Source organism: Homo sapiens, chromosome 15, assembly GCF_000001405.40.
Source record: "Homo sapiens chromosome 15, GRCh38.p14 Primary Assembly".
Lineage (NCBI taxonomy): Eukaryota > Metazoa > Chordata > Mammalia > Primates > Hominidae > Homo > Homo sapiens.
This window is the reverse complement of record NC_000015.10, coordinates 91,850,885-91,878,149: the sequence shown is the minus strand read 5'-3', so window position 1 is coordinate 91,878,149 and position 27,265 is coordinate 91,850,885. Positions and strand designations below refer to the sequence as shown.

Below are 27,265 nucleotides of genomic sequence, written 5' to 3'. Positions count from 1 at the left end.
CCACTGCACTCCAGGCTAGGAGACAAGAGCAAAACTCCGTCTCAAAAAAAAAAAAAAAAAAAAAGGCCTAAATCCCTACTTCAGATGCCACCTGATGATGGTTTCATTTCTGGGATACCAGATCTTGCCTCATGTTGTCAGCACAGTTCTCTCTGTTCCGGTGCAGCCTCACCTAAGGAAAGCCCTGAGATTCTAGTCCTTCCACAGGATGCTCCCTGTGTGGCCCCATCACCTGGTAAATGGAGAGCTGGAAGGGTGGCTCCATCCAAACACCTGACTCCCTAACTTTTGGCTGCAGGCTTAGATCAGACTACAGGTCTCAGATTTTTTTGTAGGTTCATTGAGCTACTAGCTTCCTAAAACGCCTCCTTCTATAGACCACACCCCTTTTTGCAAAAACCTGTAACTCCTTTATGCCCACTAGATTGAGCCTAGCCTTCAAAACCTTCCCTTACCTGACTGGACCTTCCAGCCAAGGGAGTTAGTTACCTCCTTCCCCTTCCCAAAGGCCTTCCCTAAAATTTCCTCCCTTCCTCTTCACTGCTGTGGAGCCTCTGTTTCTGCAGATCCACTTCAATTTTCTCCTCTGTGACTTGAATGGACTTCTACATTCGGCCACCATACCACTCTCTGAAGAATATCAAACCTTGCAGTGATGTCATGAGCAAAAGTACCACAACGTAAGCGTCTTTATAGCGATTTCTTGTGTTTTGATATGCTGGGTCCCCAGTATCTAGAAGAGTGCCTGACAAGTCACAGAAGCTCAATAAATAGGTCTTGAATTAATAAAGTAGCTTCAAAGAACACGAACATCTTAAAATTTTTAAGGTTAAGAGAGATTAGAGAGGGAGGTCTGATATCAAAATTTTAAAATATATACAAGGAGAACAGCCATCATCGTTTGAAGAAGGTTCACACCAACTTAATTAAAAGATTAAACAGCTACTTAAGTGGTTAGGAGACAACATAAAATATAAGGGAAAAGATTCTTTCACATCAGAATTCAATTTAATGCCTCAGATCAATAAAAACTATCTTAAAGATCAAGAAATAAATCAAGTCACATAAGTTGCACATAATAGAGAATGACTTCAGGAAAGTGTTCTGTTTCTGTGAAAATGCAGAAGAAACTTATGGTATTGAGGTTTCTCATTCAATGGATTTGAATCAGATCCATTTGGGTCAAACAGCAGAACCCCAAACATATCGGCAAAAGTCAAATATCTGTAATGAGCTGTGATGGTTAGTGTGTGTGGGCAGGCAATGTGAATACAGAAAAGGCCTGTGATCCCACAGGGCAGTCCCTCTACCATAGGCCACATCCATGCTGGACAGCAGAGAAGAGCGCACCAGGGCTCCCTGCTGGGTCACCTGTGAGGTGCTGTGCAAAACAAAAGCAGGCCTACTCAGTGGACTGGCTGGGAGAAAAGACTCACAGTAAAGAGAACAGTTCCAGTTGAGAGGCCTCCGGAACCTACCACTTATCCAGAGCCCATGCTTGCCAGCCTCAGATCTGCAGGAGGGGCCTGCTCAGATAAAGAAGTCAGCCTCCAGCTCTAGGTAGCTTGACTAGATTTAATTTGTGCTTAATTATAGGAGATACCTGTAAGGAATTCTTTCAAGTACTTTATATTAAAACACCTGCTTGACCCCTGCTCATGGTGCTAAGGCTGACCACGGGATTGAGATGGGTGGTAACATCCAGACCGCTCCATGTGAAACAGACATTTGCTCCCTTGAAGTTGGCAGTCTGCGTTGGTGCCCTTTTAACAGATGAGGCACTTGCCAAAATCCTGACTAGGCTGTAACTTGGTTACCAGTGATCACAGTCACTAGCGTTTATTGAGCATCCGCTATGTGTACCTGACACACTTTATCTCATTTGGTCCTTTAGAGGCAGACTAAATGAACTTTCCCAACTGGGAAGGTTGGGCAATGCCACTCCTGGGAGTGAAAGCTGAAGACAAGAATTTAGCAGGAGGTGGCTTTTAAAAATTAATTTATAGAAATAGAGAAGGGGTTTCACCATGTTGCCCAGGCTAGTCTAGAAGTCCTGGGTTCAAACTATCTGTCCACCTTGTCCTCCCAAGGTTCTGGGATTACAGGTGTGAGCCACCACGCTCAGCTGAGGTGGCATCTCTGGGATCTAGAGATCTGAGACCACAACTCTAAGAATTCTTTAAGATTCTAGAGCAGGGGTAGCAAACCTTTTCTGTAAAGGCCAGATAGCAGCTATTTTAGGCTTTGCAGGCCATATTACTTGCAGGCAATATGGTTTCTGTCACATGATGATGATAATATATACATAAATCAGCATGGCTGTGTTCCAATAAAAGTTGACTTACAAAAGTAGAGAGCAGGCCAGGTTTGGCCCATGGGCTATAGTTTGCCAACCCCTGCTCTAGAATCACTGTCACTGCTTCATGTTTATTACCTGATTTTCAGTCATCCTGTGTTTCTCTATTGTGAGTTACGGCAAAACCTTCAAAGCAAAACACGGACTGAGCAACTGTCTCCAGGGACCGATGGAAGGAATGACAGAGAATGAGGCTAAGACTTATCACACACAAGTGCTTCCCAGGCAGTAACTCCTTTCACGCTCAGGAGAGCCCTCTGTGGCAGGTACTTTAATCATCTCCAACTGACGGGGGAGGAACCAACCTAGGTTTACGTCACATGTGACGGGCAGAGCTGGGATTGGAATCCAGGCAGTCTCTTGCTCCAGAGTCCAGTTTTTACCCTGTGGAGAGAGTAAACTGGAAAGGCAGTGCCAACATCATGCCATGGAGCTGGGGGAGGAGACCATGATCCACAGTGGGAGGGGAGGGTCAGAGGAAAGGGAGGCAGGAGTGGCTTCATAACAGAAGTGCAACTAGGATCTCCTACAATGAGCTACAATGTGGGACAACACTGCCGCCCCTAAAGGACTAAATGAGATGACATGTGTCAGGTACACACAGCGGATGCTCAGTAAATGGTAGAGATCACTGGTAACCAAGTCAGAGCCTACTCAGAATTTCAGCAACTGACTCATCTATTAAAAGGGCACCAACACAGACTGTCTGCCAACTTCAAGGCGGCAAATGTCTGTTTCATGTGGAGTGGTGTGGATGTAACCACCCATCTCAACCTCATGGTCAGCCTTAGCACCATGAGCAGGGGTCAACCAGGTGTTTTAATACAATGTACTTGAAAGAATTCCTCACCAATTATCTCCTCTAATCAAGCAAAACTTAAATCTAGTCAAGCAAAAGCTAACTTCCATTGCACAGGAAATACAGAGAAAAGAGACAAGTTAAATGAAACCACGAGGAAATAATCAGATACATTCAGAATACGAAACATTACAGAAGATGTTCTGTGGAATGACAACTGACCCAACCCCTTCAAAAAGTTAACCTAGTGGGGAAAAAGTGGGGAAATTATTCCAGATGAAAGCTCTACAGCGATGATCGGAGCGGCATTATTCACAATAGCCAACATGTGGAAGCAACGGAAGTGTCCATCGACAGACGACTGGATAAGCAAAACGTGGTCTATACATACTATGGAAAATTCAGCCTAAAAAGGAAGGAAATTCTGACCCAGCCCCCAACTTGGATGACCTGTGAGGACATTATGCTGACTGAAACAAGCCCGTTGCAAAAGGACAAACACTGTATATGAGGCCCTAGGGTAGTCAGAATCATAGAGATAGGAAGTGAACAGTGGTGGCCAGGGCTGGGGGAAGGGGAGTGGGCAGTGATCTTTAATGGGTATGGAGTTTCCCTCTGGGAAGAAGAGTTCCAGAGGTAGATGGTGGTGATAGTTGCACAACGTTGTGAATATACTTAATGTAGGAGTCCCCGCTTATCCAGAGTTTCACTTCCAAGTTTTCAGTTACCTGAGGTCAACTACAGTCAGAAAATAGTGAGCAACAGTAAGATGTATTGAGAGAGACCACATTCACATAACTTTTATTACAGCATATTGTTATAATTATGTTGAATTATTATTGTTGTTAATCTTACTGTGCCTAATTTATAAATTAAACTTTATCATAGGTATATACATATAGGAAAAACCATATCATATATAGCATTTAGTACTATCCAAGGTTCCAGGCATCCATATCAGGGGTCTTGGAACATATCCCCCAAGAGCAAGGGGGACTACTACACCACTGAGTTCACTGTACACTTCAAAATGATTAAGATGGTAAATTTTATGTGTAATTTTCCACAATAAAGAAAAAAAACAAAGGAAATGACACAAAATCATAGAACAAATGAAATGTATGATCTTGAATTGGTTTGTGGCTGTTTATAAACAAATAAATAGTTCCAGAGAAAGCTAGGTATAGAGCTAGAAATGGCAATTGCGATAGAGATATTTTGGGAACATTTTGGAGAAATCTGATATGTAGGAAGTATTAATTGAAATTAGGGACTACTTAATTTTGTTAGGAGTGATAGTAGGGTTGCAGTTTTATAGGGAAATGACCATAGTTTATGAAGAGGTATACTGAAGTATTTAGGTGTGAAGTGTCATCATTTCTATAATTTACTTTAAAATGGTCCTGAAATAAAGTATGTATGTATGTATGTGTGTGTGTGTGTGTGTGTGTGTGTGTGTGTGTATGAATGTAGCTGTATATATGAAGCAAATGTGTCAAATCTTAACAACTAGTCAGTCCTAGGTGGTGAGTACATGGGTGTCCACTGTACTATAATTTCTACTTTTTTGTTTCGTCATAATAGAATTAAAAACAAAAGTGGGGCAAAATTGCCCCACAGATGTCCCAGGGTTGCTGTCAGTCTGAAATGACATAATCCCACAACACTGAAACTGGCTGAACACTCCACACATGTAAGATGGCATGGTACTCACTTTTGTTTTCGAGGAGAAAACTGACACCCACAGTAAATAGATGGCTCTCCCATCAGCATCTTTTGGCAAACATCAACATGTTACTCAGCGCTGTGGAATACTTTTTGAATAAGGTAAATGTAATTTTGCACTAAAATTTTGAAAAATGATCGCTTGTTGAACAAGTAAACACTAATTAGAGTGTCTGTTCACACTGACACAGAACACTCTGTAATTTTGTGGGAATTGTTATGGCAGAAATATTACATAATGGCCCATGTGTTTGAGTGGCTGGCTGTTCAAATCAGGAACGCAGGTGAGTGCTGAGCACGCAGGTAGCTGCATGCCAGGAGCAGGGGCCCTGTGACCAGCCCTGGAATGTATAACAGGTCTTTTTCAGAGCACTCTTGTCACTTACAGACGCCACCATGCCCTAAAGGGGAGGAAGGGAACAGAGAACAGATTCTCTGGCCCTGGTGAAGTTATTCTCTGGTCCCAGTAAAGTCATGTTCAATGTTCATTACCTTTTCCCTCAGTTTAAAAGAGAGAGTGAGAACAGTGTTCTCTCACAGGTGGTAACATGTTAAAATAATATCAACACACTCAAGACACTGAAGCATTCAGCTGCGAATTTTTTCAAGGCGTGGTGTGATCAAAGAGAAGGGAATTTAGAGCTGGAACCAAGAGACTCAAGATCAAACACTAGCTGTGCCAACTTGGGCTTGGGCACGTTCTTTCTTTCTTCTTTTTTCTTTTCTTTTTTTTTTTGAGACGGAGTCTCATTTTGTTGCCCTGGCTGGAGTGCGGTGGCATGGTCTCGGCTCACTGCAACCTATCCGCCTCCCGGGTTCAAGTGATTCTCCTACCTCAGCCCGCCGAGTAGCTGGGATTACAGGCAACTGCCACCATGCCCGGCTATTTTTTTGTATTTTTAGTAGAGAAGGGGTTTCACCACGTTGGCCAGGCTGGTCTCGAACTCCTGACCTCGTGATCTGCCCGCACTGGCTTCCCAAAGTGCTGGGATTACAGGCGTGAGCCACCGTGCCCATCCAGCACATTCTTTAACTTCTAGAAGTGAGCCCTATTTCCTTATACGGAAAAGAGAAATAATGACATCTACTGCATGGGATTTGTGTGAGAGTTCGATCAGACTGCTTGTGTCCTCCCGGGCACACACCACATCCTCGACGAAGGCAATTCCCCTTTCCACAGAGGATTTGACTCCCCACATCTTTTGTGACCAATCCCTTGAACTCATCATCCCATTTTGTAATTCTGAAAAGCAAAACAATGAAAAGAAATGAGCAACCAGAATTTGTATCAGCAAAACAAAACCATAAGCAACCTACCATACAGAAATAGGGAAATGGAATACAATGGAATATTACACAATCTTTTCAAATGTTGCTAGACATTTCCCAGTTAAAATGGTAGAATTAAACCTCTGTATAAAATCTCACTCTTCCTAAATTTGAATTAAAAAAAAATTAAACCTGAAATAAAACACTTATCAGCCAAAAAAAAAAAAAAAAAAAACCAAAAAAAAACAAAATGAGCACACCCCAGTGTCATAAAGTCAAAAGGTGCCTGGGAAATAAAATAAAGGAAAAAGAATCCAGTGTGGCAAGGCTCAGAGCCCTGAGTCAAACACCCTCAGGAAGACAAAACAGTGAATAAATAAACATTCTGAGAGTTTTCATCAATATCACCACATCTAGAAAAAAACACCTGAGTAGTTATCCCTATATTCTCTTCTTCTGACTAGGGAAGAGAGAAAACATCTGCTGGGGAGAAAAGGATGAGATGATGCATAAACCGTGGTGTTGATCATCTCTGCTGCAAGGAATGAAGACTCTGGGAGTCCAACGTGAAACCCAAGGCTGACCCGAGGCCACAGAATACTGCCAGAGGGTGTGCAGTGTGTGCCCCCCACACAGGAAGACCGAACCCACTTAAAAGGGCCTTCAAAAGATCCCACAAGTGAAAGCTGCCAAGACCACATCTAGCCAAGCCTACTCAGCACCCAGCATACGACCTGCTACAGCTCAACTGGCCCAAGACATTTCATAAGTCTTCAGGCTACAGAAAGCATGAACAGAAACAAAAAACCAGCCTTCAAACTTCAGCTTGGTAGCAAGAAGAAAAAAGATAGCCTTCAAATAAATAAATCAAAGAAAGATATAGCCTGATTTACTTCAGCAAGAATAAAATGAAAAACCACAAGGCATGGTTATCTTTAAACACAGACTCCTGGAAAGGCAAGAAAGCAACAGTAGGTGTCAAAGACAAAGAACTCAAAATAAAAGAAAACGTAACTCAGCCAGAGAAAGATACCCCCCAAAAGATCTTTGAGCCATAGAACTTAATAAGAATATGAGTTCAATACATCAAGAACCCAAAGACAACATCTAAAAAAGGGAAAAAAAAAAGATTGTAGATCTAAAGAAATACGTTGAAAACTAAAGCCAACCCTAGAAAATAAAGATATGAAACAGAATCTACACAGGACTAAAGAAAGATGGTTTAAAATCAATTTTCTGACTAGAGGAAAGCTAAAAATAAACATGGTGAATGCAGATAAAAAAAAGGGATTCAAGTAATCGAAGCAAAACAGACAACTATGGAGTTCAAAGACAATGTAACATACAGACAATTGGTGCCTTACAGCAGAGAATTCACTGCATAGAACCCAGTGTTTGAAGAGATAATACAAAGAAATTCTCCCAAAACTAATAAAGAATTGCATCTGTTGATTGAAAATACACATCCAGTTCCAAAAACTATGACACACATCACACAGCAGTAATATACATCAGAATTAAATTATCTGTCAAATATTAAGAAAAGATTCCTCATATATCTAACCTATAGGCAATAATAAATTATCTCTAAGGGAGGAAAAATAAGGCTGGCCTTGGACACTTCTACAGCAACATTTAGTAGCAAAAGATAGTTACTTCTTTCCAGTTTTACTGAAGTCTTCTGTTAAGTTTCAGTGAAATTAAACTTACTGCTATTTTTAGAACATACATTTTATAAGTATATCTACTCAGCCAGTCATTTTTCCATGTATAAGAATAGAAAGAACTCTAAAATGATATATTCCTAATAATAACAAGAAATTCTTCTTCCCTTTCCCCAGAATTCATACCTTGATATAGACTAGACGAACGTCCACCTTCTGGAAATTAACAGAGAAAAAGCATCTGCTCTTCTAACTTCCCCACTCAATCCTCCCCAAAGGGAAGGATTGGCAACTTACTCGATTCACAGAATTGCAAGCAGGAAGCTGGCAAGCTTGCCCTGACCCCCTTCTCCCCCAATTCTGTGAACAGCCCTCAGGATGCACATATTCTCTGCTCCTCCAGGAGGTAAGCTTACCTGAGCAGGTGAGCATCTGCAGGGACAAAGCCTGCAGTTCTGCCTTGGAAGAGTTTTATTCTGAGAACAAAGTAGTGAAAAGAAGCCTGAATCTGGACACAAACAGAGTTTTCCAATCCAAACTGCAGTTTTTTCCACACAACCCCCAAGATGATGTTTTAAACCCCTGTGGCTGGCTGGGGTGTCTACTTCCCAAATGATCCTTTCTTTGTTGTTGTTGTTGAAATAGTGTCTCACTCTGTCACTCAGGCTGGAGTGCAGTGGCACTATTACGGCTCACTGCAGCCTCAATCTCCTGGTCTCAAGTGATCCTCCCACCTCAGTCTCCCAAATATCTGGGAGACTGGGTGGTGGCATGCAGCACCACACCCAGCTAATTTTTTAATTTTTTTTTTTTTCCTTTGAGACAGAGACTGGAGTGCAGTGGCGCCATCTTGGCTCATTGCAACCTCTGCCTCCTGGGTTCAAGCAATTTTCCTGCCTCAGCCTCCTGAGTAGCTGGGATTACAGGCATGTGCCACCATGCCTGGCTAATTTTTTTATTTTTAGTACAGACAGGGTTTCACCATGTTGGCCAGGCTGTTCTCAAACTCCTGACATCAACTGATCCACCCACCTCGGCCTCCCAAAGTGCTGGGATTACAGACATAAGCCACCATGCTCAGCTAATTTTTAAATTTTTTGTAGAGACAGGGTCTCCCTATGTTGCCCAGGCTGGTCTCAAACTCCTGAGCTCAAGTGATCCTCCCACTTCAGCCTTCCAAAGTACTGGGATTACAGGCACGAGCTACCATGCCCGGCTCCCAGTGGATTCTTAATTAGAAGGGGCTAGAGTGAGGGCAGAGAGGAAGGTGCGGTTAACGGTCACTTCTCAAACCCCACCACCAGTCATGATTATTTCTGAATGGGGGATTTTGAATTTTTAAAAACATTTTTATATAAACTTTTCTTCATGATGAATATGTATTGTTTTATAAAAACAATAAGGTCATTTTTCATTTGAAACTATGACAGCAGAGAAGAACATCTGATGTTACAGAAAAGCCATGAGAATGATTTAGAGGAAAGAGTAGGTTCCTAAACAGAATTTATAGTGAGATCCAATTTTATTACTTTTTAAAAATCACGACAGTAGCACATACTGCAGAGAGGCACGGGCTGAGTACTTTGGATGGATTCTCTCATTTGGTATTCACAAGATCATTGAAAGTATAAATATCATCCCAATCTTAGAGATGAGGAAATTGAGAATTAGAGAGGGAAAGCTAAATGCCCAAAGCCACACAAGACTAACCAGCCCCAGACATGGACTTCAAAGACCCCAAAGCCCACATCCTTTACCACCGTGTGGGCCTGGAAGTCACGCATCAATGCAGGTAGACGGAGAGAGACTTAAAGGACTCACGCCAAAATGTTTACAGTTTATCTCCAGGTTCTCTGAATTATGGATTTTTTTTTATGTTATCTATGTTTATTTGTATTTTCCAAATTGTCAACACCACATATATTCCTTGTGTAATAAGTAAAACAGTAAAGTCTTTATATTAAAAAAAAAAAAAAAAAAAAGCCGGCTGGGTGTGGTGGTTCATGCCTGTAATCCCAGCACTTTGTGAGGCCGAGCCAGGTGGATCACCTCAGGTCAGGAGTTCGAGACTAGCCTGGCCAACATGGCGAAACCCCAACTCTACTAAAAATACAAAAATCTGCTGGGCGTGGTAGTGCACTCCTGTAATCCCAGCTACTAGAGAGGCTGAGGCGGGAGAACTACTTGAACCCAGGAGGCAGAGGTTGCAGCGAGCCGAGATCCCACCAATGCACTCCAGCCTGGGCGACAGAGCGAGACTCCATCCCCTCAAAAAAAAATTTAAAAAAAAAGCACGAACTTGAAGTTGAAGCTAGCACTAGAGCCAGGCGATGAATAGATAAAGACACAGACATAGGATGCTCACAGAGCTTTCCAGCTAGCTCAGCCAGCGCTTGGATCGGCCGGCCACAGGCTTGGAGCAACAGCGCAGAAATGCTTCCTGACCTGACTCACACAACCTTTCACACAGTCCTTGAAGCTGAAAGGAAACCTCCACAGGCCTCCCAGCCCCCAGAACACCCGGGGCCTCCGCCCAGTCACCAGGCAGCTCCACTCACAGGCTACCTTCCTTCCCAGGCCCCGGTGACTACCTATTCCAGGGAGGAGTGGCCTCTCTCAGCAGCCTGCCAAGCTCTTCCCAAGGAGAACAGGAGGGGAAGTTTGAAGGGCCTTCATCCAATTTTTAAACTGTAAACTGCACACCCACTTTTTGTTTGGAGACATTTCCTGTGTGTGAACACAGTTTGTTCTGTTACCAGCTTTAAAGTTATCCAGAACTGATACATCCGAGGCCAAGCAAAAGTGGTTTTATTTAAAAAAAAAAAAAAAGTCAAATATAATAGGACCTTTCCTAATGTTAGCTCATCTTGCAAGAATCTAATTTGTACATATGCAAAAGAGAGGTTTAATACAGAGGTGTCATTTTGTCCTCAGGCCCAGGACCCTATATTTGCCCCCCTCCCATGTGGCACCCATACTGGTGAGCACAGCATTCCAGTACAAGAAGCATTCTGCATCCTTCAGCCCCTTGGCCTCAGCATGCGAGGAAGCTGTGCTTGCTTCTAGCTGAGTCTGAGCATGCCCTGGATGAAGGTCCCTCCACAGGCTAGCAGACTGACTTCCAGCCACATTTCACCACACCACTTCAAAGCAGGGGAGCAGGGGCAGAGGGATCCAAGCTTGGCCGAGAGAGATGCCGACAGCCTCCGCGCTGCTAACTGGAGTGGCACTCCACAGTGCCAGCCCTGACATGCCCCAGCCCGGCTGTGGCCCTGGGTTTCCAGCCCTCCCCTTCTCCATCCCAGGTTTCCAATCACATGCTGCCTCCAATGACTCTCCGCAGCCAGCCTCTCACCAACGGTTCCACTTGACATCTTGCTACCCTCGGATCTATCCCCAACCAAGGTTGAGAAAATTATTTTATATCTCCGACCAGTCTACCCAGGCCCATCTCCCACCCTGGCCCAATGCTTTGCTTCTATTTTTAGTCTGGTCTATTGTAATACAACTAGACCAGACATGAGGCTTCCAGAGGGCTTGGCTGCCACCTGGCCCAGGACCTGAAACGTCCTAATGAATGAGTCATTAATGAAAAAATTATAAACATGTCATCTCCCCCCCCACGATAAATCAACTCCATGAGGGCCAAGAACATGCCTTACTCAACTCTATATTGCTCGCAGCACTTAAGGAAGTTGTCGAAGTTAATTAGTTTGGCAGAGATCAAGCTGACATTTTTTTTTTCTTTTTTTTTTTTTTTTAAAAAAAGGAGCCTGTGCAGAGAAATTCTGGGAACCATATCACTCCTACCCCCACCAAAAAAACCACAGAGATGGATGAGATTAGAATGCAGATGTCTGGTGCTAACTTAATACATACCTGGCCAAATCTGAGACTGGCTGGCACAGCGCACAGTGATAAAGTCTCTTTTGGTCTCACTGAATCGGATAGGGCTTCAGGAAGGAGACAGAGCCAGCTGCAGATTTTACCAGCCCTGATTCCTGCTAAGGAATCCTGGGTGTGAGGGATGGGAACATGGATGAGTACCTATGTACATACACACAGTAAATACACAAACACATATTCCTCACCCACATATCTGTCTAGGATTTTTTTTTACATGCATTCTCCTTAATCAAATGACATGACTATCAGTCCAATCCCAGCATTCGGCTAGGCCCAGGAAGAGAAAATGATGTGTTTGAAGCTAACGAATCATCCAACTAGGTTCATTCCTGCAAGTCTAATCACCACCACCCCAGAGAGTAACATGGTTACCTTCTTACAGAAAGGAAACAGGGACTGTCCGCATTTCTGTGAAGATTGAAATGATATCTTTGGGTATGAACGACTCTCTTACGAATATCCAACAATCCTCCTACCTCACCCAAACACTTAAGAAGACAGAGTTTGCCTTTGTTTTCTTTGTACACACAGACTGTTTTAGGATCCTTTGCTCTTTTCTTCTCTGGTGTTATGAATTGATTTGTTTTCCCCAAAAAGATAAACTGAAGTCCTAACTCTTAGTGCCTGTGAATGTGACCTAATTTGGAAACGAGGACTTAGCAGATGTAAGCTAGTCACATGAGGTCATTAGGGTGAGCCCTAATCCAATGTGACCGGTGTCCTTAGAAGAAGAAGAGAGAGAGACGCGGGGGAAACACCATGTGACAGCAAAGGCAGAGATGGGAGTGATGCAGCTGCGAGCCAAGGAATCCAAGGACCCTTGGCCACCCCCACATGCCATGAAGAGGCAAGGAAGGGTTCTACGCAGGGTCTAGGAGGGAGCACGGCCCTGCTGATGCCCTGATTTCAGACTTCTGGCCTGCAGGACTGTCAGACAAAAAATTTGTTTCAAGCCACCCAGTTTGTGGTAATTTGTTACAGCAGCCCTAGTTAATGAATAGACCTGGTTTTTTCCTTCTGAAATGCCTACCATCTCATCCACCCTCTCCCCTCCAAGCCCATGTCCACCTCACCAACAGATAAACTGTGAAAGTCACTTTCTCACTTATAATATGACCCAATTTTGGTCTAGCATCTGAGATATTGAAAATGTTAGGGAATAATCCTACTGTCCTACGAACTCTACAAAAGGAAAAGTTTAAATAAAATGTCAAGTCCCCACTTATTCCTGTTCCCAAATAAAGTACAAAAGAGCTCAGAATTAGTCCAGGAAGGCAGGAATCACATACAGTCTGTGGTGAAAGGTGGAATTGGATCTGAAAGGCTTGTAAGAGACCACGCTCAGCTCCATTATCCACTGGATAGGGACAGCGGGTGGCCAACCACGGAGGGGGCAGAAAGGACACTGCCCATGGCAAATGCCTGCCGTGACAGTCCCACTCAGGAGTGGCCTAGGTCTTGACTCCCAGAGTCCCTACCCATGTGACTGTGACATCCTGTCAGGGACGGTGAGGCGTGACACTGATGGGGTCAGGGGCCAGTGGAGGGAGGTAGGAAGAAAACAAACAACCAGGACGTGACAGAGCGGAAATGAACACCTGTGACCATCACTGTTGGGCTCACCGGGTGCAAAAAGCAGCACCAAGGCGACAGACCTCAACAGGAGAACACTCAGCTTCCTTTTGGGGGATTTAAATGTGTCACTTGTCACACAAAATAGTTCCCCTGATAGCCTTGGGTGCCACAAGCCCTTGAGCTATTTTTAATCACCTCCCTGTCACTGTTATTTTTAAATACAAAAGTATTCCCCAATGAAATCCTAAGCATCAGAAGGCAAATAAATATAAATGTATATATATTATCTGTTCACTCCATTAAGGATAGGTAGGGTACCTCTTAGAAAGCATTAAGCCTATTTAGACAAAAAAAAAAAAAAAAAAGAGGAACATTTTAAAAGAGAATAAGAGAAGTGATTTTTCCCCAGTATTCACCAAAACAATATTTTTATTTATACTTGTTTATAATTGCTATTCCCAAAATTAAAACTATCAGTTGTCTTTCCTTCCTGGCTGCTCACCTGCTTATACCTGCCAGCGAATGTGAGCTGGCTCCGGAGGGTGGGGCTGCACATTTGGGTAAATGCCTCAATTCTGTGCCCTGATTTTGCCTAACATGAAAGCAATGAATGCAGAGATTCTACGATGTTATACTTAAGAAGACCTAAAAACAGGCCCACCCTGGGCCACAGAAACAATATGCCTGTTGGACAGTCGATTGCACATGTCCATCTCTAGAAATCGAACAAGGTTGTATTTGGATTTAGCCCAAGCACTGCTGGCTCCACGTGCCACTCTGAGCCTAGTGCAGCAAGGAGAACCTCCCCATCTGCTTCCATCAAGTGCAAGCTGCAAAGCTGCAAAACTGCTCACTGGCTTTTTGATCTATTTATATGCATCTCCTTGATGCATGTATACAGCTTGGCAAAGGTAAAGGAATGGTGCTAATTTATGGTTTTTGTTTCCAAAAGATATCCTCTCTTTGGCTGGCTGAGAAACTGTCACTGGCATGTTAAGCCTCCCAACCTACAAAGTATGTACCAGCACTGGGGAGGCGACACGACATGCCACACAATAAGTCAGGAGTCTTGCCCTCAGTTTTTTGCATAAGGACAGGAGAGGCTTCTCTGAAGCTCTTCTACATCTATTTCATGGGCCTGGCTCCCTTTAAGTTTCTTCTCCTCAATCATCACTCCGGCCAAAAAAATATGCTCCTTTCCTACATTTCAGGAGGAGGTTGGAAAGCTGAACTTGACCGTGTGGTGTGCTGTGCACCCCACGCATGTATAGCTTCAAGAAGAGGATGGTGTGATGTGCCACACTGGAATACATGCTGCTTATGCAAAGCATCCCACAAGACACAGTAAATTCCAAGTGCTATCACAGCAGCACTCTGAGAAATGAAACGGCCAAAGGATGGTGTCTGTCACAACCGGCAGTGGTTGTACTCACGGCCATCCCACTACACTGCACGAGCAACCTCGAAAGCCAACCTTAAGGGGGCCCTGCCCTCCACCACCCTGAAAGCTACAGTGACCACAGACCCAGGACAAGCCTCCTGTACCCCTGGAGAGAAGGGGAGCTGGTGCTGACAGCACAGCCAGCTGAGTTCCAGGGGGACAGCTCTAGGTGGCTCTGTGGATCTACTTTAAACAATTCTCTGACCCAAAAGCCAACAAAGAGATTAATCAGCCCCACTGTTTATTTTACAGGTTGGATCACCATAATTGAATCTTACATAATAAACACATATGGGTCCATGCTGCTTAGAAATTTTCATCTTCATTAAGGGAATTCTTAGCAGAGTAAACATAAGACTTTAGGTGCTGTATTTTATAGCTTATATAATCAGCTGAGGGCAGCTCTCCCAATTTCAACCTGCTTATATTCAAGGTGGTAATTTCTCCTTCTAATCAGCTGAAGTTGGGAGACAAATTCAACAATTAGAAACAGCCTGCCTATTTTACATAAGCCTCTTGCAAAGGGGGTGAAAGACAATAGCCATTCCCATTAATATTTTACAGTAGTCTTTAAATGAAAAACATCATTGTGACACTTCTCCCTACATCAACCTTGCAAGTGCAGAAATGGCGGTAAAAATAATCACTTCTAACTCCCTCAAATTCCTGTAGTTTTGTGAGCAGGGATTTAGTTTGCCTTCTATTATTTTCTCCGGAACTATTTGTTAAAAGCCTCATCAGCCCCTGCTCATTTCTTCACGCTCTGCACAACTAGAAATTTAGGTATCAATGGACGGAGAGCCAGAAGAGACTTTAGAGCTACCAAGAAAGTCTCAAGGCCTATCTGAACAGGTTCATTATCCAGACACCCAAAAGTTGTCCCAAAGGACAACCTGGCAGAACAAATGTGGTAGTCCCATCACTGCCTATGGGATGGGTTTATGGGCACAGCCTGTTCCCAGAATTTTCAGAGGGCAAAGATTTTAACCAAAACCAATGCTAAGGCTGAGGTGAGTGGATCACTTGAGGTCAGGAGTTCGAGACCACCCTGGCCAACATGGTGAAACCCCGTCTCCACTAAAAAAAATACAAAAAATTAGCCGAGTGGTGGTACGCGCCTGTAGTCCCAGCTACTGGGGAGGCTGAGGCAGGAGAATTGCTTGAACCCGGGAGGCAGAGGTTGCAGTGAGCTGAGGTCATGCCACTGCACTCCAGGCTGGGCAACAGTGTGAGACTGTCTCAAAAAAAAAATAAAAAATAAAAAAATAAGACTTCATCATTACAGTCAGTGGGCTCTCTGAGTCCATTACCAGATAACTTAAAATGCCACTTGGACTATTACGTCCATGAAAAGGAGAGTACTGAAAAGTCATGGCAGGGGTATTTATAAAGGAAATCATGAGGGCAAAAGGGAAAGATGAGTTCACACTTCTTCCTGCCCCACCCGCCCCACCCCACTGAAAAAAGTAGGGCTTGGCAAGGCACCGTGGCTCACACCTGTAATCCCAGCACTCTGGGAGGCCAAGGCAGGTGGATCACTTGAGTCCAGGAGTTCAAGACCAGCCTGGACAACATGATGAAACCACCCCACACCCCATCTCTACCAAAAAAAAAAATAAGAAAACTAGCCAGGCTTGGTGGTATGTGCCGGTAGTCCCAGCTACTTGGGAGGTTGAGGTGGGAGGATCATTTCAGCCTGGGACGTCAAGCTGTGATCCTGCCACTGCACTCCAACCTGGATGATAGAGCAAGACCCTGTCTCAAAATAACAACAACAACAAAAGTGGGGCTTATGGCAGCCTATGTTACTTTTTGCTTTTAAATATTTTCAATGTGTGTTGATTAGGAGGAATAAGTGCAACTATTGTCTAAGTTCAGGAAAGTACTAATGACCAACTATTCCGTGTTTAAAGAGGAATGCCCAGTCATATGGGAAATAACGAGGCTGTTAACACCGTTTCTACTAAACAATCGAGCTGCTAAGTCCTCAGTAAGGGCTTCCCTTTTCAGAGGCACTCGACTCAAAACCACAAAGAAGAACCGAAATAAAGAAGTTGGGAGTCACCAACTGCTGAGGTTCTGTGTACATCCAAGGGAATGTTTCCAGTCTCTGTGTTGTCACTGGAACTCATGGATGAAGGCTCCCCTGGCTTGCTCACTCCACACCTGTGGCTGCACAAGATTCAGTGCTTTACACACAATTCCTCCCTCGGCAAAGTCATCAGAGTGACCCGGCTTTGGGGCTCTGAGGTCTTCTGAGCACAGACTCTCTCCTGAAGCCTGTGGCATTTGAAGGTGAATCTAAAAACTCACCTAAAACATACACTGCCACCTGATTCACTGAGAAAGGCCCAATTCCTTCTCTATCCTTCGCAAGGACAGGTGTGACCAGACTGGGGGCGGGAAGGCTGCTTCTAAGACTACAGATGGAACGGGAGTGGTGTTGTGCAGAAGGTATGTCCGTAAGCCGAGATGGATGAATCCATGGGATGGGAAACCAGGTTGCAGGAACAGGTCCATTGTTCTGCTTATGAGAAACCAAAAAAAAAGACCAAGCGTGGGGAAATGCCCACAGACCTGCTTGCCAGAGTCCACTTAATACTGCAAGAGAACACGAGGTGAAGGCAGCAGACAAGACGTGAGACCTGAGCCCCTCTGGGCAACCAAGGCTGAGCTCTGCGAAGGCACGTTTTAAACAAGGCTGCCTGGAGGGCAGCATATGTCCACAACATATGTCCCTTTGTCCTCGCCCTCCTGACACCTCGGGCTCCCTTGAATTGGTCACTCAGCCTTTCAGCCAGTGAAGCAGAGCAAGCTTCAGGAGCCCAGATCACCAGTTTAGGAAACAGAAGCCTTGGCCTCACACAATATTCCAAATCCTCAGCTCCCTGGGAGGGACTTTTGTTGGTGCTAATGTCAACGAGCAGGGTTATACCATTACTGTTAAAGCAACTGTGGAATACTGTACCCTATGAGAAGTACTCTATCACATGACTATTTGTTTAAACCTCACAACCATCTGTAAGATAAGCTTGATCATTATCCCCATTTTTCAGATGAGGCTATTGAGGCTCGAGTAAGTGAAGTTGCCAGGAGCTGGGAAATAGCAAGTCTAAGTTCAAATCCAGGTCTTCCAACTCCAAGTCCAACATTCTTTCCACCTACCCTCAGCCTTCAGCACCCAGTGGCCACAGACCACAGCAAGAGATACTGAGGACCTCCCAAAGTGAAGCATCAGGGTACCTGCCCCGCCCAGCCAGTCCTGCCTGCCCTGCTTTAACCTCCTTCAAGTACCCATGGACTGTAAATGATCAACATGAATCACCATTCCTGCAGTGGGCTCCTCTCCCATGTGACTAATTTTTATAGCATCTTTAAGATGAAATGGATTGCTATATTTATAAGGGAATAAACAGAATTAGCAACTGATATTTAGCTTATTACTTGCCCTTAAAAACTTTTTACCTCCCAGACAAAAATGTCCATGTAGAATAGGAAACTACTTGAATATGCAATTCACTAAACCAAAACTAAAGTTTAATTGAAATAATTTTATTTCTCATTGGTTGGGGCTACACGGTTATTATGTTTGCAGTAAATATGCATAACCATATTATTATTAATAGTAATAGCTAATATTTCCTGGGCACTCACTATGTGCCAGATATTGTTCAAGGTGCTTTACATGTACTGACTCAGTTCATCCTCACAGCAAAACAGAGGGTAGGTACTATTATAACCCCAGTTATAAAATGAAAAATTGAGGTACACAGAGATTAAGTAAACAGCTCAAGGTCACAGAGCAGGTAAGGGGAGGACATAGGCATGAATCCCAGTCTTCTAACACTCATCGAATAAGCGACAGCTGCCACAGACACTTGCCTTTCTCCACCTTGGAACTGTAATCATTTAACTTGGAGTTTTAACCATTAAGCAATAATTTGTCTCATGCTAACACATAAACACTTAGGCTACATAAAATACAAGTGTCTTTGAATCACATCAATTCATTTATCCTATGAGCCAAGGTCCATGATTCCACTGTTTTTCCTGTTTATATCTGTTTTCCAGATACAGACATAGAAACCGAAAATAAAAATGAATTGAAAGAGTAAGGATGCTATCTTTCTGGCCTACAGATTACCAAAGGCATTTCCGAGAGGCAAGAAAATACCGAGATTTTCTTCAGGGGAGAACGGTTCCAAATCCATGTGTCAACCATACAGTCAAAGTTACCATTGAAATGTCCCTTCGCACCTTCAAAAAGTATGGCATACAATATTCATTGTATGCAACGCTGTACACAAACACGTATGTAAATATGCAATGCATGCGGCAATGTACAGAATAGAGTACATATGCAGAAGAGAAGTACTTTGACTCCACTTTAGAGAAACATGCTTATTAAATGATGCATGTAGTGAAATCTGCGCGAGTTGGAACTAAAGCCAGAGAAATGCAGCTAGTAGGGAGTTTTATTCTTCACTCTTTCTGCATGAAATGCAGCTGTATCCTCATCATTTTTGCAATACTACCCTTGTTCATCCAGGCCAATCTGCTAAGAGAATACAGTCCCTGATCAAGGCAGCACCTCAAAGTTTGCTTTTAGGTGTGCAAAATAAATTCACAGAGACCCTGTTGGTGGGGCTGCCTTTGCCCAGCAGTTCACCAATGACTTCGTGCAAGAAGCAGCCCATGCAGCATAACAGAAAACACGATTCCAGCAGCACCCAAGATGAGCTGCAAATGCTGGGCAATTGATTAGCAAGGCGGTGCCACTGCAGAGAGGCCTCTTGGCGATCCTTTTCATAAGGTGTCTAAAATTGAATGAGGGGAAGAGTTAACAAAATGCAGGATAGAGCCCTCGCTCATTTTACAACTCATTCAGTTTCTTCTATTGTTAAATACACCAACAAAAACCCCCTCACAAACAAAGATAAATACACAAACCTGGCTGAAAAGAATTTTCAGAAACACCTTTTTCCCTTAATAATTATTAACATTTTGAATCTAGCTATAAGGAAAAAAAAAATCAAGGTAATTTTATTTCTTACTACCTGGGGCTACATAGTAATTATGGAAATGGCAAGGAATTTTGTCACTTTGAGTAAGCATAAGTGTATAAAATAATTTGATTAAATAAAATACGGTTACCTTAGTCATCATAGTAATTTGACAAGGACTTTAAAAATGTCTCTCTCTGTTGAAAATGTCAACAGACAGTTTCCTGAGCTGTCTGCTTCTGGGTTGAATATGCAGAAACTCATCTTCGAAATGATGTTTCTTTAGAAAAAAAAAAGGAGTAACAAACCTAGCAGTTTCGCCTCACCCATTAATTGCAAGCCCACTTGACTATTCTCAGGCTGAAAGAAAAAGTGTGACTACAAAGCAGTGAGATAGAGCCTCATTAACCACACTCAGTCATCTATGTCATTATTTTGTCACCACAACCTCAAACTTATTTTTCTATAACTCTAAATAGGGAAATACCTACCCCTTGTTCACAGGAACTCCCTTTGTGCCCCACCCAGGAAACTAGACTGGCCTTTTTTCAGTTTTCAACCTGAGGAAATTCAAATGTATTTGTATGTATGCCTCAAACTAATCATCTAGAAGTGTCAGAGGCTTTAATTTCCTGTACACACCCTTATCTACTCCAGTCCTCAGTAATTTGATACCACACAGAAACCTCTATATGCAGGGCTACCCTCAGCGAGTGGCTTAAAACATTTTAGGGGGTCTCTGCAAAACACCAATAGGCACACACAAAATGACTTTCTCCCCATGCAGTTCTCATATGCCTGCATCTTCTCCAACCAGTCCAAGACTTAAGCACATGTTACATCCTTGCAAACAGGACTGGAGCCACTCGAAGCCAAAACCCAAGTAGAAGAAAATTAAATTGCATTCTCTGTTCCATACAAAATGACTATCAAACCGAGCAGGCCTCTCCTCTTATGCTGCAAAAATTATGTCATAGCCAGTCAGGAGGTTTAGGTGACTATGATGGAACATCCCTGTGACTATTGGTTTATCTGAAGCATGGTTTCCAGTTAAGATGTTTGTAACCGTAATAGATTTCAGAATCCACAGTTGGCCCAGGTTGCACCTGGGTTACTTTATCTAGATCACTGAGTCTGGCTTTCAGGATCAGTGTCTTTCTGTACTGCCTGACACCAAGGCAAAAGTTGCAGGCCCCCAGCCTAGCCTAACAATTGATGGCCTTATATACAATACAGTTTTCCTTTGAGTTTCCTCCCTGGGCAGGTTCTTGGTGGAAAACAAACACATGCATACATACACACACACACAGACACACACACACATTTTCTCTCTCTCTCTCTCACACACACACACACACACACACACACACACACACACACACGAGTCCTCCTTCTCAAAGTTGCTTCTTAAATCACAGGCAACCTTCTGCTTCAGTTCTGCAGTTGGGAAGCCTACACTAGTGTCATTCAGGACACTGAGAAATTTGTCTTTTCAGAAAAAAATAAGGAAATGAAACTGCAATATTTTAAGGCACCTGGGGAGATGAAATAAGAAGGTGGACTCTGGGAATCTAATAGGAAATAACATCGTTGGCATAGAATTTGTAACCACCCTCCTCTCTGTGAAAGGGAGCATTACTGGCACTGTCCCAAGGCAAGTCCTTCCTCAAGTATCTGGAAATGCCTCATTAGAGAGGCAGGCTGATTGCCAAGGTAAGGATCACGTATAACGCACACTTAGCACGTGGACCCTGCCCTGTGGTCCCCTACAGACACAAGGTCTCAGGTTTCCTAAGAAAGCCATGATGAATTAAAAGGAAGAAATGTGCCTTTCCTGCAAACAGCCTGCAATATTTCATTCTCCAATTATCCACAGAGAAGTCTCGCATGGCTGAAGGAGCAAACTTTTTTTCCCCATCTCCCAAATAACAGATGAAGAGAAAACTCTGAAGTGGCCCAGAAGAGCAAAGCCCATAGCAAGCTGCGTCAGTCAACCCTGACAAGCCAACTATTTATTTTCATGAGGCTCCGATGGCAAGGCAAAGACGAGGGCAGCCGGGCAAAGCAGAGCCCTTAGAGCCTTATGCCTCCACTCCTAGTAATCAAAATGAATTCAATTTCCTAGGCCTGTCCTCTCCTGGGCCTCCAGCTGCTTTCTGCAAGTCACCTGTTGACTCCTGTTACCCTACCCCACCCAACCAGGCTTTCCATCAGCGAAGGCTAGAAGTGCCAGGATGCCGCCACCAGGTGGACCGAATTCCTCCTCTGCTTGCCATTCCCCTGTTCTGGGATTAAAGTCAACCTCCTATCTCCTGGGGCCAGCCCTGCCTCCAGAAGTCCACCACTCCAGGAGTACTCGGCTTCTTAACTTTCTAAAGGAGCTAGGCCATTCATCTAGTTGCAGCCCAGCTTCATTTATTTGTCAAATCCTTAGATCACTGCAACCGAAAAATAGTAAGCCCACGCTTTTATCACTCCTGGGGTGAAAAGTTCTGCGGGTGTTTGCCACACATGAATAATGCACTCTACCGAGCAAAATTGGTTTGAGGCAAACAAACCGTTAAAGTGGAGGCAGCTGTTGATATACTAATTACCTCCTTCTAAACATAGACCCGGTTAGGTATTATGTACTTTGCATATGTCACAGTACAGACCCACATATATTTTATTAATGTGAATTTGCATCTCTGTAATACATGTACTTATTTAAATATTTTAACAGTTAAATTTCCCCTAAGGAAGTGCCGATAAACTGACTCCCAAAACACAATTATCCCCTATCCCTCAAATTCCAAGGGCTAATAGGTACTGTCTGCAACTGCATATTATAACTATAGACACAATAAGTGTATTTTATAGAACAGAAAACAAGGTATGCTTTTGACTACAGGGTTCACTTGCAGTCTACAAGTTACGAATGCACAAGACAGAGACCGGGATGTAAACGCTTTTCGTCTCAGAATGAGCAACAGAAATGTATTTGATTTTCAAAAGCCCTGAAATTCTGTCACCCCAGGAACAGAGCTGAGTTTGAAGACCCCCTCTCTCACAACCACCTAACTTCCTCAACACCGGAGACCAAGCACTGCTTGTATTTCCCTTTAACAGTGAGCCCTGAGCCTTAAGAGATAGTTTATGAATGGTATACAGCCCCCAGCGTCTGGCCCTCATGAACTTTACCCCAAGGCCAGGAATGAGGGATTAATCATAGCATCAGGATACGCGTGGTTCTATCTCTGGATGTGGTTATTCAATGGCCAAAATCTTGTCCAATTCTATCTCCATCAAACTTGCTCAGGAATACTCAAAGTCTATGACATTTGATTCCAGTTGCGGGTCAATAGCCAAGTAATGATTTAACACTATAAACTCTCAAAAAAAATTTCCCGTTTAGACAGGACTGTACTTAGGTGTGGAAGCACGCTCTCTGGAACTCAAGTTGCGACCACCTGAGCAGAGGAGGCGAAAGCGACAAAGTAGGTACCTGACAGTGCTGAGTCATTACAAGCTGTTTCCTCTGAAATGTTACGCACCCATGGGCCCTCTGAGCATTAACATCCCCTTTCTGGAGGCAAATAAAATACATATTCATTGTGGAAAATGGTGCAACCTTCTGTAGGCGACAGACCACGATGGGGAATTTAGCACTAAGAGTGGATAGCAGGAACTACACAAACTCGCAGCTGCTCTCTAGGTACCGTAACTTTATCCCAGACGCTCAAAGAGGGCTATAGGGATACCGGGTGGCAATATTCCCCCTGCAGCCCCGGCTCAGGCCAGGGCCACACTAGGGCGCATTTCACTCTAAGCTGTTATATCCCCCTGTAATTGGCGGATGTAGAAAGCGCCCGGAGAAAATGATGCATAATAGATTTGTTCTCGAGGAGGATGCAATGGAGAGTAGAGGACGCAGGATGCTAACTGGTTTTTCTTCCCATGTGCAGGTCACCTGAAAACCCCGACGCTTTTTCGTTCCTCTCCAAGGAGAACCCTGAACTCACCGTCTCGCTCCGCTCTTATGGGGGGAGAGGAATAGTTTCACGCCCACCTGCCCGCCGCCTCTCCTCCCCCGGCACCCCCTGCCCCAGCCGGACGCGCGCGAGCTGCTACCGGCATCAACGGTCCCGCCCGCTACCCGCTCGCTGGCAGCCCCGGCCGGCAGCTCCCCCGGCGGCCGCCTCTGCACCACTCGCCAACCTCCACGCCGGGCCGAGGTCATGCCCGCCTGCCCCCAGCGCCGGGCGGCCCCCTCGTCGGGCCAGGCGGCCGCTCGAGAGCCGGGCTGGGGAAGGGGCCCGCGGCGGAGTTGGCTCGGGGACTCACCAGGTAGGCGCCCACCGTGCCCTGCGCCAGCATCAGGGCGCACTCGGACACCAGGAAGATCTTGATGTTGGAAAAGCAGGACACCTTCTTTTTCTTTTTCTTGTTCCTCTGCGCCTCGTCCCCCTGCAGCTCGCCGCTCCGGCCGCCGCCCGACGAACCGCCCGGCTTCTTCCCCTGCATCCTTCCCCCGCCGCCGCCGCCGCCGCCGCCGCTGCCGCTTTCCCGCTCGCCCCGGGTGTCGGGGCCGCTGCCGGGCGGGGGTGCGCGCCTCGAGGCTGCGTGCTGTCCCCGCCCCGGGTTCGCGGCGGCCGCCCCCGTCCTGCCGGGGCTGGAGAGGTGGAAGGCACAGCTCCTCGCCGCCGCCGCCGCCGCCGCGATCGCCCCTTCCTCCTCCTCCTCCCCCGCCTCCGCCCTCCCCTGGCCTCCTCCTCCGGCTCCGGCTGTGCCAATCACAGGGGCTCGTCGCGCCGCCCGCCGCCGCCGCTGCCTCGCCTCCCGCGGCCGCCCGCCGCTGCCATCGCCCGGTTCCCCTTGCCCGCCGGCCGCGCCTGCTCTCACCCCCTCAGCCCCAGCCCCAAGGCCTGGGCCTGGGCCGCCGCTGCGCGCCCTCGCCGAGCCGCTCCTCGCTGCCGGTGCGCCCCCGGGGAGGCACGGGAGGCGGGCTTGGGATGCGGAGGGCGGCCCGGCGGCCGAGGCTGGGAGGGTCCGGCTGCCGGGAGAACTGGGGAGACCCGGAGTCCTTGCGGAGTAAGGGGGGTGCCCCTGAGGGCGGGAGGCGGCGCCCGGCCCCTAGGTGGCGCTGCGGGGCACGGGGCCCCGCGGCGGAGACTGGCGGCTCTGCGCCGGGCGCGGAGATGGGGTGCGGAGGCGCCCCCGCGGGGCTGGGACCCGGCGCTCGGGAACCCGGGTGCCCAGGCCTCAGAGGGCAGGCTGTTCCCAGGAAGGGAGAATACTGAGTACCCAGGAAGGGCTTGGCGCGCGCTCTTCTCCGCCCGGGGATTTCTGGGGACAGATGTTGTGCTCTGGGTCTTGGGGAGGTGCCAGAGGTCAGAGCTGCTTGAGGCTTCTGCCGCCTGCCGGTTTCTGCCCCAGCTGTCCCCGGCCACAGGGGGTGTTGAAAAGGCCCCAGACCGAAAGGACAGAAAGGGGAAGTTAGAGGAATACGTCGGGAGCCCCACGGACCGTTAGTGCCCCAGCCTCGGTGTCCAGGCGCTGCAAGATCGCCGCGGCCCCAGCAGAGGGCCTTCTCCGGCCCTTCATCCGCCCAGGGCCCCGCTGCTGGAGCGCTCAGCAAGCGGCCAGCCGCAGGCCTGCTGGGTCCCCACCCGTCCCCTGGCTCTGTGGCCCTGGCCACCATCCTCGGCCTTGACCTGAATGCCTGGCCCATGGCAGCCGCTCCTAATTACTCCCCACTCTCACCGTTACCAAGGAGTGTGGGCCACAGGGCACTACCAATAGGATCTGCTAGTTCTCAACTGCAGCGTTTGGAAGCTGAGAGAAAAGCTCAGAGGGCTGGACAGGTACCAGGAAACAGCACCTTCCACCTGGGCCATTGGGGGACTCAAGGAATCATTTAAAACGGTTTCCTTAATAATTGTGTCAAAGAAAATGACCCACTCTCCCAAGCGCCTGTGTCCAAATGCAGGCTCAACTTCAAAACTGAATAGCAATGAACCCGACCATATTTTTCCTTTCTCCCGAAGAACTTGAATGAGAATGGAGGGTGTAATGGTGGGGATGTTGTTTTGCCATGGCATTTAAATATAAACTGCTTCATCCTTCTGTGGCTCCAGACGTGATCTCACCCAGGCTTGGTGTCGCTTTGAGATGCCCTCACCTTGTCTAGGCCACCTCCTATCTGAATTGGCTCCCCCCACACTTGAAGTCTCTTCCCGTCTTCCCCACTTCCTGAATCAGTGGTCACACCATTCCCGGCCAGTCCTATAATGAGAATCCTTACTGCCCCCTTCTTTCTTCCCCACACCCTCCTATCACTCGGAGCCAACTTCTCTGCAGGATCTTTATGTCCCCCTCTTTCCCTCCCCATCACTTTGCTTCATGGGCTACCTCCCCACTTCCTCCTGAGAAGACCCTTGACAAGCTAGCTCTGTTCCCTGCCTCTGTGACGGTAAGCTGCAAAGCTGAGCTGAGACTTGTCTACGAATGGTGACCCCATTGCTAATGAAATGTGCGGAGTGCTTTATAGTCTTCAACTCTTATTTACATTCTTTGTAATAACAAGAGCTAATGTTTACTGTGTGCTTATTATGGCCAGACACCATTCTCAGTGCTTCACCCGCATTTACAACGTAATCCTCACAGCAATCCTCTAAACCAGATACTATTATTAGCCTTGTTTTACAGATGAGACAACTGAGGCCTAGAAAGGTTAACCTGACCAGTGTCACTTGTCTAGTAAGTGGCAGGGCAAGTCTTTGAAAACCAGGTTGTCTGCCATCATAGCCCAGGTTCTTTATAACTACATACATATTATCTCGTTTATCACGCAGTGTGGTTCATCTGATGGGGAGGCTGGGACTTATGTTGTTCCTCTTTTATAAAGCTGGAAAGGAACAAAACTTGCATCCATGTCCAGCCCTTTTTGTTCTTTTTTGTTTGTTTGTTTGTTTGAGATGGAGTTTCGCTCTTGTTGCCCAGGCTGGAGTGCAATGGTGCGATCTCGGCCCATGGCAACCTCCACCTCCCGGGTTTCAGTGATTCTCCTGCCTCAGCCTCTGGAGTAGCTGGAATTACAGACGTGCCACCACACCCGGCTAATTTTGTATTTTTAATAGAGACGGGGTTTCTTAATGTTGGTCAGGCTGGTCTCGAACTCTGATCTCAGGTGATCCACCTGCCTCAGCCTCCCAAAGTGCTGGGATTACAGGCATGAGCCACCACGCCCGGCCAGCCCTTTTTGTTCTATGCCACAATGCCTCATGTACAGACTGAGAAGGGCACAGCCTTCTTTCAGCTTAACCATTTATTTTAGATTAAAAAATTAGCTGTCTTTAGAGAAATCACACACTTTTGCTGTCAGATAAAGGATTTCGGATTAGGGTTGTGGATTCTTCCTATAATTAATGGTAAGCAGCCATGAAAGTAATCCTGGTGCCTGAAGCCTAAAGAATCATCAAAGTCAGCCTCAGGGAAATCAGGCTGCGGCCTCACAACAGTCAGAAAGAAGGAATTTAACAAGTTCAA

At 45.8% G+C, this 27,265-nt stretch overlaps 1 protein-coding gene across 3 annotated transcripts in view, besides 4 other annotated features; it reads right to left on the bottom strand.

The window, feature by feature from the left end:
* SLCO3A1 (solute carrier organic anion transporter family member 3A1) overlaps positions 1 to 24,442 on the bottom strand; it is a 318,728-nt gene extending 294,286 nt beyond the window's left edge. For 2 of the 3 annotated variants that reach the window (NM_001145044.1, NM_013272.4), the window contains exon 1: positions 24,062 to 24,442. In NM_001145044.1, the coding sequence (NP_001138516.1) occupies positions 24,062 to 24,241 (180 nt within the window). In that variant the 5' untranslated portion in view covers positions 24,242 to 24,442. Of the gene's footprint in view, positions 1 to 23,739; positions 23,847 to 24,061 lie in introns of those variants that run through there. The other variant, NR_135775.2, reaches the window with a different exon arrangement.
* Positions 10,137 to 10,431: an enhancer, noted in NCBI's record as "tiled region #9082; HepG2 Activating non-DNase unmatched - State 10:DNaseD". NCBI's record gives its function as "activates a minimal TATA promoter and a strong SV40 promoter by Sharpr-MPRA in HepG2 cells {active_cell/tissue: HepG2}" and the evidence as "EXISTENCE:reporter gene assay evidence [ECO:0000049][PMID:27701403]".
* Positions 24,838 to 24,977: a silencer, noted in NCBI's record as "silent region_6839". NCBI's record gives its function as "represses an Ori minimal core promoter by ATAC-STARR-seq in GM12878 lymphoblastoid cells {active_cell/tissue: GM12878}" and the evidence as "EXISTENCE:reporter gene assay evidence [ECO:0000049][PMID:35858748]".
* Positions 24,838 to 25,020: a biological region, named in NCBI's record as "ReSE screen-validated silencer GRCh37_chr15:92396360-92396534".
* Positions 24,846 to 25,020: a silencer, noted in NCBI's record as "fragment chr15:92396360-92396534 (GRCh37/hg19 assembly coordinates)". NCBI's record gives its function as "represses an EF-1alpha promoter that drives an FKBP-Casp9 reporter gene in an ReSE screen in K562 erythroleukemia cells {active_cell/tissue: K562}" and the evidence as "EXISTENCE:reporter gene assay evidence [ECO:0000049][PMID:32094911]".